General features: G+C 50.1%; 1 protein-coding gene across 2 annotated transcripts in view, besides 4 other annotated features; it reads left to right on the forward strand.

Annotated features, from left to right (window-relative positions):
- ZNF664-RFLNA (ZNF664-RFLNA readthrough) overlaps positions 1-15171 on the forward strand; it is a 342810-nt gene that overhangs the window by 211615 nt on the left and 116024 nt on the right. The gene's annotated exons all lie outside the window — the stretch shown is intronic.
- Positions 2768-3288: an enhancer, noted in NCBI's record as "H3K27ac-H3K4me1 hESC enhancer chr12:124672143-124672663 (GRCh37/hg19 assembly coordinates)". NCBI's record gives its function as "activates a minimal SCP1, AML or CMV promoter by ChIP-STARR-seq in primed H9 embryonic stem cells {active_cell/tissue: H9 hESC(primed)}" and the evidence as "EXISTENCE:reporter gene assay evidence [ECO:0000049][PMID:30033119]".
- Positions 3289-3808: an enhancer, noted in NCBI's record as "H3K27ac-H3K4me1 hESC enhancer chr12:124672664-124673183 (GRCh37/hg19 assembly coordinates)". NCBI's record gives its function as "activates a minimal SCP1, AML or CMV promoter by ChIP-STARR-seq in primed H9 embryonic stem cells {active_cell/tissue: H9 hESC(primed)}" and the evidence as "EXISTENCE:reporter gene assay evidence [ECO:0000049][PMID:30033119]".
- Positions 3809-4329: an enhancer, noted in NCBI's record as "H3K27ac-H3K4me1 hESC enhancer chr12:124673184-124673704 (GRCh37/hg19 assembly coordinates)". NCBI's record gives its function as "activates a minimal SCP1, AML or CMV promoter by ChIP-STARR-seq in primed H9 embryonic stem cells {active_cell/tissue: H9 hESC(primed)}" and the evidence as "EXISTENCE:reporter gene assay evidence [ECO:0000049][PMID:30033119]".
- Positions 5554-5848: a silencer, noted in NCBI's record as "tiled region #13038; HepG2 Repressive non-DNase unmatched - State 21:Repr, and K562 Repressive DNase matched - State 8:EnhW". NCBI's record gives its function as "represses a minimal TATA promoter and a strong SV40 promoter by Sharpr-MPRA in HepG2 and K562 cells {active_cell/tissue: HepG2 | K562}" and the evidence as "EXISTENCE:reporter gene assay evidence [ECO:0000049][PMID:27701403]".

Below are 15171 nucleotides of genomic sequence, written 5' to 3' on the forward strand. Positions count from 1 at the left end.
ACACTTCGTTCAGCCTGAGTCAGAGAGGCTTTGGCTATGGGATGTGCATGTGGATGAAGCAACATTGGACATTAAACAAGGTGTCTTCAAACAACACACACATAAAGCAAGGTTATGCATTGATCGGTGGATGAAATATTGTGCCTAGAGGCCTGCAGGAACCTAACCCTGTATTTTCCCTGAGAGCAAGGGTTCAGCATTTGTGAATTCAGTGTTCGCAGGGACCTCATAAAACATAACTCCTGCGAATAGCAAGGACTGCTTTATCTCTTTTCTGACCCCAAACTGGATTCAAGTAGGTGCTCTGCAAGCCTGTTCTGCAGCTTCTTTCACTTCTGAATTCCCCGCACCCTCCATGTTGGGTGCCCATTGCTGTCTGTGCAGTGGAGTTTTGCCAACCACGGGTGCCCACAGATATCCACGGCCTTTGGGCAAACCTGTCAAGAGTGTGTGCCATGGCTTCTGGAATGCACTGGAATATTCCCTGGCTGCATGCTGTGCTTCTTTCTGCGGGGCTGTGTGTTACCCACTCCATAAGAGGGAAACAGCTCAGTAACATCCCTACAGCCCATCCTGGGCTATTCAGAGCCCCACCGAGCCAAGGTGCTGGCACTGGTTGTACCCTACGCCTGAGTTATTCTTTGCCATGTTGATTGCAGGCCACTTTATACAAAGATCGCGACTAGGACAATTTCTAAAAAGATTGAGGCCAGGCGCAGTGCTCACACCTGTAATCCCAGCACTTTGGGAGGCCGAGGCGGGTGGATCACCTGAGGTCAGGAGTTCAAGACCAGCTTGACCACCATGGAGAAACCCCATCTCTCCTAAAAAAATACAAAAATTAGCCAGGGTTGGTGTCACATGCCTGTAATCCCAGCTACGCGGGAGGCTGCAGCAGGAGAATCGCTTGAACCTGGGAGGCAGAGGTTGCAGTGAGCCGAGATCATGCCATTGCACTCCAGCCTGGTCAACAAGAGCGAAATTCCATCTCAAAAAAAAAAAAAAGAAAAAAGATTGAGACTTAAAATGGGACCCTACTGTTTTGAATCAAATTCCCTTTAAAAACATAGACTCAATTTCTTTCCCTTCGTCCTCCCTGCCCCTGCCCCAGGTCTGGAACCATTCTCCCCCATCCCTCCCCGGACCCCAGCCTGCTTCATCACACATCGGGATTGGCCGTTCAAATTCTCCTTTTACAGGACGTGTGCTGCACCGAAGGGCTTAACATTCCCTCCTTGTTTTCAGTGGGCTGGGGTGTGCAGGGGTCCCCGGGTGGGAGCAGGAGGCTGAGGAGAGCCTGCTGCGGCAATGAAAGCACCAGGTTCCTCCTCTTTCTCAGGCGCGGCCCCTCCTCTGCCAGGCTGTGCAAGCCAGTTCCGCCTGTTTACAAGCAGAGGTTGGCTGCCTGCAACCTTTCTAGAGGTGGGAGCAAGCCAGGGGGCTTATCAAAAACTGGGGAGGGGGAACATGGTGCAGGGAGAGTTGGGGAGGAGGTAGAAGGAGGGGGTGACACCATCCGGGAGCCTGAGCTTCCATCTGTCCTTGCACAAAAGGACCTGAGCATTCAGTGTGTGTGCGTGTGCACACGTGAGCATGTGTGAGCAGCCGTTGGGAGCCATGGAGGAGAGGGGGTGTGGCAGATTAAGGGAGTTCAGCCACAGAAAAGAAAGTTGATAACCAAAGAATTTTGTTTGGATTCTTACAGGCAGAGCAAGAAAAGTACCATTTTGTGTGGACGCTATCTTCCTAATATAAAACAGAAACCCAGGGGTCTGGTTTCGTAGGCAGTGGGTTGGGCCAAGGCCTGTGCAAGATATGGGTTTTCCAGAAACTGAAGTTATAAGGAAAGATGAAATAGTTCTCCCCGGTGCTTCCTCTCCCCAGACTCCAGGGCACCGTGGCGTGGTGTGGCCTGGAGTTTTTTCGTGAGGTCGATCCTTCTGGACGGTTCTTTGCCACTCAGGCTAAAATCAGATCCAGAGCTGGCCTCAGTGGCTGATAAATCTTCTTCCCACATCTGCTTGGGTTGACACAACTTGGAGATCCTTTGGGAAGAGAATATGTGGGAGATTGGAGAACTTTGAATGTGGACTGTGTATTAGATGATATTAGAGAGGCTAGAGAGAAAGACAGAGACAGAGAGGGAGGGAGGGAGGGAGAATAAACAGCAAGATGTTAACAATTGTTGACTCTGGGTGGCGCGTGTAGTTGTACGTGTACTACTAACTAAACATTTGCATAATGTTTTCTTTAAAAAGTACTTTTGGGAAAAATACTTTGAAAATACATTTAATGTCTGACATTAAAAATCCTTTGGGATTCTTTTTGGTTTGTTTTCTGAGACAGGGTCTCACTCTGTCACCCAGGCTGGAGTGCAGTGGCACGATCTCAGCTCACTGCAACCTCAACTTCCCTGGCTCAAGTGATCCTCCCAACTCAGCCTCTGAGAAGCTGGGACTACAGGCGCGCGTCACCATGCCTGGCTAATTTTTGTATTTTTTGTAGAAAGAGGGTCTTGTCATGTTGCCCAGGCTGGTCTCAAACTCCTGGGCTCAAGCATTCCGCCCACCTCAGCCTCCCAACGTGCTGCAATTACAGACATGAGCCACAGCACCCTGGCCTGAGTTTTCTTAAAAAGAACCTTGGGCACAGAGAACCTCCTGCTTCCCTGGGCGCAGGCCTGGCGCTGAGGCTGGTGTGGGGAAAGTCGGCCTTGAGAACCAGATTGGGTAGGTGGGGGTGGGTGGAGGGGGAGAGTGGAGGGCAGGCCCGGCCTGCTTCCTGATCTTGTCTGCCCGAGCATATCCAAAATAAAATACCGGGGTGACTCGAGCTAGGACGCCTGTCGGCCTGGACATTGAATAAAGACAGCGGCCTTCTCCACGTTCCTAGGGACCATTTCTCCTTAGACTCCAAGATCGCCCTGCTTCAGAAGTTTTATCTCCATCTAGGGAGTCCGATCCAACGGAGACGGAATTCACTGGAAGGAAGAGGCTGCCCTTCTACAGTCTGAGCTTGGTCAAGTGTGACACTGGCAGGGAACTTGATGTGTGCCAGAGACACGCACATTGTCACATTCAACCCACCCGACCCTCTGAGGGGGGTGCCTTGATTACCCCCACTTACAGATGGGAAAACAGGCCCAGGGAAGGTATTTATTCCTGGAACTCACCTGGACAGGTGAGGCTGGGATTCACCTGTGAGATCCAAAACCAGCCCTCTCGTTGCTGCGTGTTCATCGCAGCCGTAATAACGGTGGCAGACACACTGCAAATGGCTCCTGGCCACCATGGCGGAATCTGGCTGAATGGCCATGGAATATTTTTCCCAGGTTTCCCTGGACCTTCTGAGGGCCTTGCTTAGAATACAGTCTCCTTGAGAACAGAAACAGCACGGGCTCTGCAGAGCAGTCCCCGACTCCAGGCTGGTGCCTGCCCGGTTTGGTTTCCTCCTCCTCTTCCTCCCAGGAGAAGGGAAGGAGCTGGGTTTCCAGCAGGTTTGAGAAAGGCCAGCAGTTTCTCTTTATAAATCACTCTCCTCTCCTGAAGACAAACGGCTTTCTCCTCCTTCTTGTGTTCCTTTGTGATTTTTCTCCATTTTAATGCTGCCACGGTTACTTCTTTTAACCTGGTCTAGCTCGTCTGAAAACATTCTGGGGGGTGTCCGTGTATTATGGGGTAACTTGGAAGTTGCTGCTCATAAATATGTTTCAACTGAGGGCTCCAAAGCCCCCTGGGGATGGCCCTGGCCCTGCCTTACGATCTTGCTGGCCCCCATGTGCCCCAGGGCATGAGACACGGTCGATAAACCTATTCTGAGTCATCTCCCAGCACCTAGCACAGTTCTTCGCATACCACAGGCTCTCAATAAATATTTGTTGAAGGAACAAATTGGCTTGCAGTGCCTGACACTGTAGAAAGAATCATTGGGAGAGTCCCTTGGGTGCCACCCTGGAAACACAGCTCACAAATCTGGGACCATCTGTCAGGCTCCTGGAAGGCCCAGGAAAAAAAAAAAAAGCCATCCATTTTTCCCAAAATAGCACAAACAGGATTTCCTGGAGGGAGCAGAGCGGGGGCGCAGGCTGTGTTTGGAAATGGAAAATGCAGCCTTGCTCGCATGAGTCCTGCTGGGTTGATTTCTGCCAGGAATCCCGCAGGCTCCCCTGCCCTGGGGTGCTTCTTGGCATTCAGCGGTGACTTTAGAGCAGGTGGACACAGGGAAATTGGTGAACTGTTAATCCACCTCAAAGAGTTTAATGTGCATGTTGATAAAACTGTCCTTCACCATGGACAGCCCAAAGGAGTCCCAGGGTCTGCTTGTCTTCGGCCAGTCCCTTCTTCTTCTCCAGGGCCCCTCATGCCTGCTTTCTGCCTGTCTGTCCCCAAGCCTGGCCCTTGCACCAGAGGTTGCACACGTCGGGGAGAGGCGTTACAATGCTTAGACACCCGGGGCTCAAATCCAGGCTCCATCTACCAGGTGTGTGGTCTTGTGCAGGTACCGCTCTGTGCCTCAGTTTCCTCTTCTGTATCATGGAGATGAGTATCTCCTACTCATAATGAGGTCATGGAGGAAATGAATGGAGCTAATAAAATAAAGCATTTAGAATAGCGCCTGCATACTCTGTGCTTGCTAAGCGTGAGCTCCTTGGATTTCTGCAGCCTCTGCATGCAGTTCCTCTGCCCTCCCAGCTCCCATTTCTGCTGAGGGTGTCACCGTCCGCCCACTTGTGTGTCCTGAAGTCTGGGGTCTGCTCACCACCCACATCAGGGCAGTAGTGCATCCGTTTTCCTGGGGGCTGCTGTAGCAAATTACCATAGGATGGGGGGTTCACAGTGGCAGAAACGGATCCTCTCATGGCTCTGGAGGCTGGAGGTCCACAAGCAAGGTGTCTGTAGGGCTGCGCTCCCTCCAGGGGCTTTAGGAGGAGGGTCCTTCCTTTGCCCCTTCCAGCTTCTAAAGGTTCCAGCTTCCTTGGCTGTGTCTGCGTCGCTCTGGTCTTTGCCTCTGTCCTCCCACAGCCTCCTCCTCTGTGTCTCTGTGTCTCCTCCTCTTTCTTTTTTTTTTTCTTTTGTGATGAGGTCTCACTCTGTCACCCAAACCGAAGTGCAGTGGAATAACCACGGCTCACTGCAGCCTTAACTTCCCAGGCTCTAGTGATCCTCCCACCTCGGCCTTCCAAGTAGCTGGGACTACAGGTGTATGCCACCACACCTGGCTAATTTTTTTTTAGTAGAGATGGGGGTCTCACTTTATTGCCCAGGCTGGTCTCGAACTCCTGGGCTCAAGAGAACCTCCTGCCTTGGCCTCCCAAAGTGCTGGGAGTGCCAGGCATGAGCCACGGTGCCTGGCCTCTCTCCTCTCTTGATAAGGACAGTTGTCACTGGGATTAGGGGCCACCCAGATCATTCAGGATAGTCACAGCTTGAGATCCTTAATAACATCAGCAGAGACCTTTTTCCCAAATAAGATCACAGTCACAGCTTCTGGGTGGACGTATTTTTGGGAGGCCATCATTCTACGCATTGTAACCACCGACTTCCATCTCCAGAATGTCCTTGGAACCCATCACCTTCTTTCCATTCCAGAGGACACAGCTCAGGCCTTATCATCTGTCTGAGCCTCTCCCGGAACTCACCACCTCCTCACCCTGTCTCTAATCTGTCCTTCCAAGTCATCCTCCAGATCGCATCAACCTAGAACTGTCTTTCCCGGACAGCAGCTGCTATTCACAAGTGACAGCTGAGCATTTGAAATGTGTCCTGTTGGAATTGAGATGAGCTAAAGTATAAAAGACACACTGGATTTGGCAGACTTAGTATGAAAAAAGAGCAAAATACCCCATCAGCCTTTTCGACATGGATTGTCTACTGAAACAGACGCTATCTTGGATATATTGGGTTAAATATGTATCACTCTCCGATGATCTGTCTGCCAGTGTCAGTTACCTAGACCTGGGTAACAGGCCGCTCCATACACCTAGTGATTTCAAAGAATGAATCGCTCGTGTTTTTGTGGGTTGGCTCAGAGGTTCCTGTGCTGGTTTCACTTGGGTTCACTAAAGTGTCTGTCTTCAGCCAACAATCCCTGGGCTGGAAGATCCGAGATGGCCCCTGGAGAGGGGCCATCTGTACTGGAGAGCACAGATGGCACTGGAGGGCCTGATAGGTGGCTGGTGCCGGCCTTGGTCTCCCCAGTGTGGTCTCCCGGCCTCCAGTCGGCTGGACTGACTTCCTGGCATGGAGGCCTCAGGGTGCAATTCCAAGAAGATGGGAAGCTGCAGACTCTTAAGGCCTGGGCTCTAAGATGATGTCACTTCCACTGCATCCTATTGGTCAAAGCCAGTCACACAGCCAGCCCAGATTCCAGGAAGTAGAGAATAGACTCCACCTCTAGGAAGGAGGAGCAACTAAGCCACACTGCAAAGGGGCCTGCCTATTCTGTGGCCATGGAAGAGTCTTCTGCCCAGCCTTTGACTCCTCTGTCCACACGGGATCAAGCCCACCCTCCCCCCACTCACTCCTTTCTGTGCTAGCCCCCGGCCTACCATGCCCAAGCCGCCTGTGGCCAATACCTGCCTGGCCTCTCCCCATGGAACCCCCAAACTAGGGCCGTCTGGTCAACCCTTCTCATGGACAACAGCCTGGCACCTAAGATGCATTGGCGGGCAAGAACAGAGATGTCTCTCGCCATCCCTCTCGCACCTGCTTTCACCCACTCCCACGCCCCTGCATGCCCAGGCTCTCCCTGTGATTCAGGTATCTGCCCATCATTTTCTCCTCCCCTGGCCCTATCGACACAAATGCACAACACTCCGTGCTCCCTCCTGGCTGCAGAGTAGCCGTCTCTCTTTCAGGGAGACTGGGAGATGGTTGATTGGCGCCCACATTCTCAGAGTCTCAGACAACAGTCCCTTCAACCTGGGTTCCAGAATAAACACGGCGGTTGACTGGGTTTTCTCAGGCTGAGTGAAGGTGGAGAGAGGTTTCTGTTTGTTGCTTTTGAGTTGGCTGCTGGGCTGTAAAGACTCACAAAGGGTCCAATGTTCTGTCCCCATGATTCAAGCATACTCACGGATTTTTTTTGCCTCCGGGTTACTTTATCAACAGGCCACCGGCACAGCGCCTACTTTATTTTCTCAGGTGTCATGTAAACCCATCAGGCTTCTCAAAAGAAGGAAGCTGGCAGCCTTGACTTCAACAGCATCTCCCAGCCTCCCTTCTCATACAGGGCTTTTCTAAGAGCATAACGGCTATTGATGCCGCGAGCAGACAGACCCGCCGTCGAAGTCTTCCAGCCTCAAAACATTCAACAAGTCACTTCTTTTTCTTGGATCAAGGGGCCTGGCCAAGGAGGGGCCGAGCCAAGCTTTCAAGAAGAGGTTAAGAGTGAGCTGGCAGGATGCGGTGGTTTATTCTGCCAGGCAGGAGGAACGCACAGGCGAGGCCGTGTGCTCAGGGGACCAGCCTCAGGGAGGACGAGGATGAGGAGGCTGTAGGCTGGGCTGGGGGTGGGGCAGGGAGGAAAGATGGCCAAGGGAAATTGAACAGGTTTTGGAATCAGCCAGATTCACTCATTCATTCAGTTAGACCAGGGGTCAGTGTTCTGATCACCTCTTATTCACCACACTGATGAAGGCCCTACCTTACATAGCATGAGACAGCTGCAGCGCCCAACGCTGGACAGATGAGGCTGGCAGCAGTTTGTTGATTGCATATACTCATAGCCTGGAGAAGGTGCACACCTCGTGCCACTCGGGGTTACACTGGAGAGCACAGGCAACCCACAGGGGCCATGGGCGGCAGGCTTAGTAGTAACTAGAGGATGGGGTGACCCTTGGTTCTGTGGGAGGATGTGATGGGCTTGTTTGAATAATGTCACGTGCTGGCAGGGAGGTGACGCCTGCTAGGCTGAGGACTGAGTGGATGTGTGAGGGACTTTCCTGCTAGATGCGGGGAGCATTTCCGGTGAGAGCAGGGGAATCCATGGTCAGACCTTTGAGGTCCTGCAAGGCCCCAAGATGTCAAGGCAGCACTTGAGATTGTAGATCTTGCAATACGATCAGCAAACTTGTTTTGTAAAGGGTCAAGTAATATTTTAGACCCGGAGAGCCAGGAGACAAAATCAGGCATAATATATAGACCCATATAACATGAGGTAGAACAAATTGACGCCAAATGTTTATTGACAAAATTCAAAATATAGTCATTATAATTGAATATGATGTTTTACAGTCAAAGTCTCCTATTGAGAAGAATGGAATTCTTTTGGGAGCTGAGGAATAACATTTTGCTGAATGGGAGTTTAAAGTTAGTGTCCGATGTTCATGCAAAATTCATCCTTAGCTCACGGGCCGTGCAAAGCAGGCAGTAGCGCAGGCTGGATGTGGCTGGTGGGCTCCTTTGGATAAGTCTTTACCCTATGCTGGGTGCCGCACTAGGCTGCCGGTGGATGAGGCAATCATTTTGTGCTCAGTTATTCATAGTCTGGGTGATAGGGGGACACACAAGTAAACAGCAAGGACAAATCAATATCATCAGGACGTGTTGGCAACTCTGCCAAGGAGATTCTAGTGCCTCTTGGTGATATTGGAGAAGGCTTCCTAAGAAGGACCCCTTAGGAAGGAACTTCGAGATGCAACTGGTGTTTGTACATTTTTGCTGTGTGTGTGTGTGTGATCCACATTTATGCCTTAGGAAGGTCACATTCACGGCTGTTAGAAAGCTGGACTGCAAGAGATGGAGACCAAGAGGGATGCTATTGCAATCACCCTGGGGAGAAATGAGGAAAGCTCGTTCCAAGGGAGAGGTGGTGGAAATGAAAAAGGAAGGTGCGAACAAGAGAGGTTTACAAAGTACAGCCAACAGCAGATGGGTTGCTGGGGCTGTAAGAGCCTCTGAAGCGGACAGAGCAAGAGTCAGAAAAGGAAGAAGCTGAAGCAATGCAGGGAACAGAGAGGCAGAAGCTGTGGCCATCCAGGGTGGGACACCAGGGTCTAAGATTTCAGAGCTGGGCCAAGTCTGGATATTGAGAAGGTCCAGTATGTGGGCTCAGGAAAGAGTCGCTGCGGTAGATTGGAAGGGAGAGTCCTCAAAACAAAAGAAGTCAAGGATATTTGACCTGAAAATATTAGGTGATTGTGTGCGTGTGTGGAAGGAGCTGGGTGTGGGGGAGTTTCTGGGCCAGGCACGGAGCTTGGTCAGGCTTTCCTGTTAGCTGCTGCTGTGTAACAAGCATCCCTGGTTCAGCTTAGTGCTGAAGACAATTTGTTATATATGCAATAGCCCATAACCTAAGAATGGATTTTGTATGAACATTTGGTTATACGGGATACTGGCTTTAAACTCCCATTCAGCAAAATATTATTCCTGAGCTCCCAAAAAGAATTCCGTTCTTCTCAACAATAGATTTTTACTATAAAACATTGTATTCAATTATAATTACTATATTTTGCAATAGCATATGTAATAAATATGTAACAAATTATCTTCTTTGTATTGCTTGTATTGCTGGCCTGAGACACCCTTCTCCAGATTACTGGTGTGACTTTGGCCTTTGCATCTTTACCCAGACGTCCCGGGCGGGGTGCGGGGGGCTTCCTTTAAGCAGTCCCCGCTCTGCCTCTTCCACCGCCACAGCCTCAGCACTCCAGTTGCTTTCTCCCTGCCCCACCGTTTCTTGTTTGCGTTGCCCTTTGTTACCTTCTAACACTTAAGAGAATGTATTTATTAGAGGATTGTTTATTGCTCAGCTTCTTTCACTCCTGGTTCCCTGTTGGTTCCATGAGAACGGGGATCTTTGTCAATTTCATTCACTGATGTATTCCAGTGCCTGGCACCTACCTGGTCCATGCTCAATAAGCCGAGGCTGGCCTCAGACCACCTGTCGCCTGATCAGAGAGGCTGTCTGCGGCCGTCTCCCCAAAGCTGCTCTTCCATTCAAGTCCCTTCTATCTCATTATCCCAATTTATTATCTTCCCAGGGGCACTTATCTAATACCGTTCTTGTTTATTTAATTACTGCTTTACTGCCTGTTCCCGTGGCTGGAATATAAGTGTCATGCTACCAGGAAAAGCTTCTGTCAATGTCCCATCCCTAAAACAGTGCCTGGCACATAGTAGATGCACATTCGGTGTTTTCTGGAAGTGTCTGTCAAATGCCTGGCACTATCAACCTGCTTCCCACTAAACTCTGAGACCCAATTCACCACCACACCTCATGCACAGCCTTGCGTACGCAGCCCTTGGTCAATATTTGCTGAATGATTGGTATTTCCATTTACCTGCCTCAAGATAGAGGGCTAGGTGGAAGGATTTCAAATTCTCTCTTTCAGCACGATGGTTCTTTTGGATCAAGGGAGCCCAAAGGCAGGAATGTGAGGCGCCCAGAGTCCCCTCCTGCCCAGCCGGTCCACAATGTTGCTTTTCACGTCTTCTCTGATGCAGCCGTGTGCCAGCCCTTAGGAGCGGCTGGGCCGGGCCTTCCTATGTGTCAGGGCCCACAGTGGAGCCTTGTTTCCCCTCAGTCCTCTGCGTGAACCGTGCTGGCTGGCTAGAGCCTCCCTGGGTCCTGGCTCCAGCTCTGTGGCAGAGACTTAGAGCCCGTGTCTGCTTTCTGTCTCATTGCAGATTTGTGGGAAGTGATGCGTGAACGTGTGTGATCAGGGAGAGGCTAGATGGCCACAACTCCTGGAAAATGAGTCCTGCTTCTCGTAAGATGCGTGTTCCGGTCTGCAGCCTCGCCCCCCACACACTGGTTATTCCCAATTACCTGTAGAACCTGTTATGTATTCTATCTTCCCATATTCCCCAAACAGCCCCTTTTTTATCCTAGAGATGTCTGACTCAGCAATTAAATTCAGCCAAAAAGCTGCCTCCTCCAGGAAGTCGCCCCTGAATGCCTCCTGCTTATCTGCATTACATATTTTCTCTGACTTTTCAGGGCTTACACTCGTTTGTTTGCTTGTGTCCCACTAGATTATGAGTTCCTGGGGACAGGGCCTGGAATTTCCAGCACCTCGTGGGCCTGAGTGATTGTTTGGGAATGAATGAATAAACAAGTGAGTGAGTGACAGCTCTTATAGCAGCCATATCAGCCGTATATCGTCTTGGAGTCTTGATTTGCCTGTTTGTTCTATGAGGGCTGGCCTGATGGTTTTTCTAAAATCCTTTAGCCCAGCTGTTTTCAGTTGGGTTTTTTTTTTTCTCCTCAGGAGACATTTGTCAGTGGCTGGAGACATGTTTGGGTGTCACAGCTGGGTGAGGGAGCTCTCCTGGCATCTGATGGGTAGAGGCCAGTGATGCTGCTGAGGCTCAGCCCCATAGCAAAGGGCGATCCAGCCCGAATTTCAGCAGTGCCCAGGCTGAGAAACCCTACTAGCCATTTCTATGATGTTTTCCTTTCAGTCTGGGACCCAGGGAGGGAGACTGGTACAAAGAAATAGACAATATCACCAAGTTCTGGGAGTGTACATAGAGGCAGTGAGGACAGAATGGTGACTTCTTTTGTACCTATCAGTATTCTTCATTTTGTGTATAACATTTCCAAGTCCACGAGCTACATGGTACAGACCTCCCCGAGTTATTTCCCAAGGCCAGTGTATCAGTTACATATGCTGTGTAACAAAACATCCCAATACATAATGGCTTGTAGCAATGGCCACTTATTCTTATTCACGAGTCTATTGGTTGGCTGGGCAGTTCTGCTGATGGGGCTGGGTTCAGCTGACCTCCGTGCCTCTATGGGCAGCTGGTGAGTCAGCTGGGGGCTGGTTGGTTCAACGTGGCCTCAGCTGCGACGACTCAGTTCCATGGGGTCTCTTCTCCATGGGAGCTTGTTCCCATGGCACAGGCAGGTGCCTAAGGCTCAGAACTGGGCTACCACCACCTCTCCCATATCCCATTGGCCAAAACAAGTCACATAGCTGGGCCCAAAGCAAGAAATAGACTCTGCCTCCTAAAGGGAGAAGGTGCAAAGTCACTATGAAAAGGAGTGTGGATATAGGGAGGGGTGAGAATTGGGGTCATTTTTGCAATCAATCTGCCCCAGTCAATTAAGTACAGTTTGTTTTGTTCGTTCCCCTCCCAACTCCTGACTTTCCTAATTGTACTCACAGCCTCTGGATGAGCTGAACCACCCTAGAAATTGGCCCTTACATTTCTTCACGCATTTGATGTATTCTGTTAAACGGTGACCTGTGTGATTCTGACTACCATAGCGATATCTGACTCCCTCCCTCCCCAGATGGAGAATCTCACCCACCCAAATAGACAGACAGACAGACAGACAGACAGACAGAAACACACACACACACACACACACACACACACACACACGACATTCCTGCCTGGCTGGCTGCCCAGAAACACATCAAACTGAACCTATCCCTGAACAAACTCCCATCACCATCCACCTCCCTAAGCTTCAGTTTCAGTTTGTGGCCTCACCATCCGCTTACCCAAGCCAGAAATGTCGGCGTCCTCCTCCTCCACATCCAGTCGATACCCAAGCTCTGCCAGTGCTACTTCCCAAATATTTTTTGGACCTAATGCTGCTAAGGTTTGCAAACTCTTCATCTCTCAGTTGGATATAGCAATAGCCTTTTAAATCATGTCCTCCCCTCTTGGATTGTCCCCTCCCCCGTTAAATCAGTAAAGCCATCCTTTATCCTGAGAAACACACCCTGACAGTATTGCTTGATAAGGGGTGAAGACTTCTGTGTTGTTAGATGGAATTACAACCACAAATGTCCGGATCATGCCCCACCCATTACCTCTCCTGTGCACGGGTGTCCCAGAGGAGCTGTGCACCCAGAATTGATATCAGAAGAGGAATTAACACAAAGCTTTATTGTTAGCTGGATCGGGCTAGTAATGAGATCCACAGCTCCATCTCCCCAGGAGAGGGGCCAGAGGTTGGCCTGGGGTTGGGAGAGGAGCTGCAGGTACCCCCTTCTCTATTTTACTCCCTATTTCAACTCTCCAGGGCTCCCTCTGCTCTCCTTGGATGGTTGGTCTTGGAAACCAGCCACCATGCTGTAAGGAAGCACAAGCAGCCGCCTGGAGAGGCCACGTGTAAGTGCTCCAGCTGATAAATCTGGCTGAGGTTCCAGCCAATAAGCGGCATCAGCTCCTAGATGTGTGAGTGAGTGATTATTATTTTAGATTTCAGATCTGAAAACTTCAGATTGTTTTGGATTATTTCAGACCTGAGCTGCAGACATCATGAAGCAGAGATAAGCTACCCTCACCATGCCCTTTAATTCCATGAACCACCAAGTTTGGAGTGGTTCATTATTTGGCAAACATAACCAGACTGAAGGCCATGGGGTTTGGGTATTATTCTATAAGGAGTAGAAGGAGCCCTGAGTAGTTGAAATGGGGAGCAAAATAGAGAAGGAGATACCTACAGCTCCTCTCCCAACCCCAGGCCAGCCTCTGGCCCTTTCCCAGGGAGGAGGAGCTGTGAATCTGATTACTGGCCCTGACCCAGCTAACAATAAAGCTGTATGTTTTACGCTGCTTGAAGCATTGTTACCTGGAGTCTCACTCTGTCGCCCAGGCTGGAGTGCAGTTGCCCGATCTCGGCTCACTGCAACCTCCACCTCCTGGGTTCAAGTGATTCTCCTGCCTCAGCCTCCTGAGTAGCTGGGATTACAGGTGCACCATCATGCCCAGCTAATTTTTGTATTTTCAGTAGAGACGGGGTTTCACTATGTTGACCAGGCTGGTCTCGAACTCCTGACCTCAGGTGATTCACCCGCCTTGGCCTCTCAAAGTGCTGGGATTACAGGCATGAGCCACTGTGCCCGGCCTGGAATTTCTTTAACACGAATATCTTAGGGTGTACATTTTGCAAGATACCAGGGCAGACCCTCGCTAGTTAATCTGAGTGCTATAACCTGACTTCGAGGCAAAGGCTTTAGATTTACACTCAGGGATGCGGCTGCTTTGAAACCCAAACCTCCGTCTTCCAGGTCTCCTGATCAAGCACCCGAGGGAGCTACTCCAGGAGACGGCAGGGCCCTGAAGAAGTCATTTCCTAGTTTACTTTCTTCCTGGGCTGGAGAAGAACAGTTGCGGCCTGACCTGAAACCCTGTCTCCCCAGGGCTTTGCTCAAGAGGCTCCGGAGAAGTGGCCTCTGTCCTGCCAAGTTATGGAATGCCACCTTATTGTGGAATGGTCCCATGCAGAACACACACCACCCCACGGAAACACCCACTCCAGGTGGGGGCCAGAAATCCGTTGTCTTCAGTGACTTCCTAACCCAGGCCAGTGGGTACAGTTCCAGTTTCCAGCTAGCCAAGTCCATTTTCACCCCCGAACCTCCTGCTGAGCTTTTCTCCTGCATGTCACCACCCACAGATTCAAGATCAAGACCCTAACTTGCCTCTCAGACTCCGGGAGGACAGACAGAAGGCGGAAAGTCATGTCTCCTGAATTCAGCTTTTCCATGGGCTTAGATTCCCAGTGATCACCTTGGCGGCTTCACCTGGCTTTCCCAGCCTCCTTATTCTTTTTCATCTTCAAAGGATGGTGAAGCTATTGGGCCCAACCGCTGAGGATTCAACAAGGGAGATTGTGAACGCTCCAAGAACAGCAGGTTCCACACTGAAACTCAGTAGCCACTTTGAACCAAACTGTGTGTGTTTTCAGAAGTATTTCTTCTTGCTGAAGACCCGAGGGACTGGGCTTTTTGAGGGTCATTTCTCCAGTGGATTTAGCCTGCCTGGGAAAAGTTTTAGACAAGCAGCAGGGGACAGGGGAAAATAGAATCCTGGAAGATGGCTCCTGTTCTGTGATTGCATTTTAAAAATCTCCAAATAAATTCTCCGCTGTGGAAAGGTGGACATCTGTTCAATTCTGCACTTAACAAATAATAAGAATTTGGAAGGGGTGGATTTTGTTATGGATTCAGAATTGAAATTTCATGCTTTAATTATTTTTAAAATTTTAATCATTTTTTATTAAAACATAACTTACACATAATAAAATGTACCGGTTTGATGTGTACAGTTGAATGAGTTATGACAAATGTATATACACCCAGCTAACCACCACCACAATCAAGATTCCAAATATCGCAATCTCCCCAATCAGTAGGTATTATTTCCAGCCAGCTCCCCACCCATCCCCAGCCTTGACAGCCACTGCTTTGCTTGCTTTTTTTTT

Source organism: Homo sapiens, chromosome 12 (assembly GCF_000001405.40).
Source record: "Homo sapiens chromosome 12, GRCh38.p14 Primary Assembly".
Classification (NCBI taxonomy): domain Eukaryota; kingdom Metazoa; phylum Chordata; class Mammalia; order Primates; family Hominidae; genus Homo; species Homo sapiens.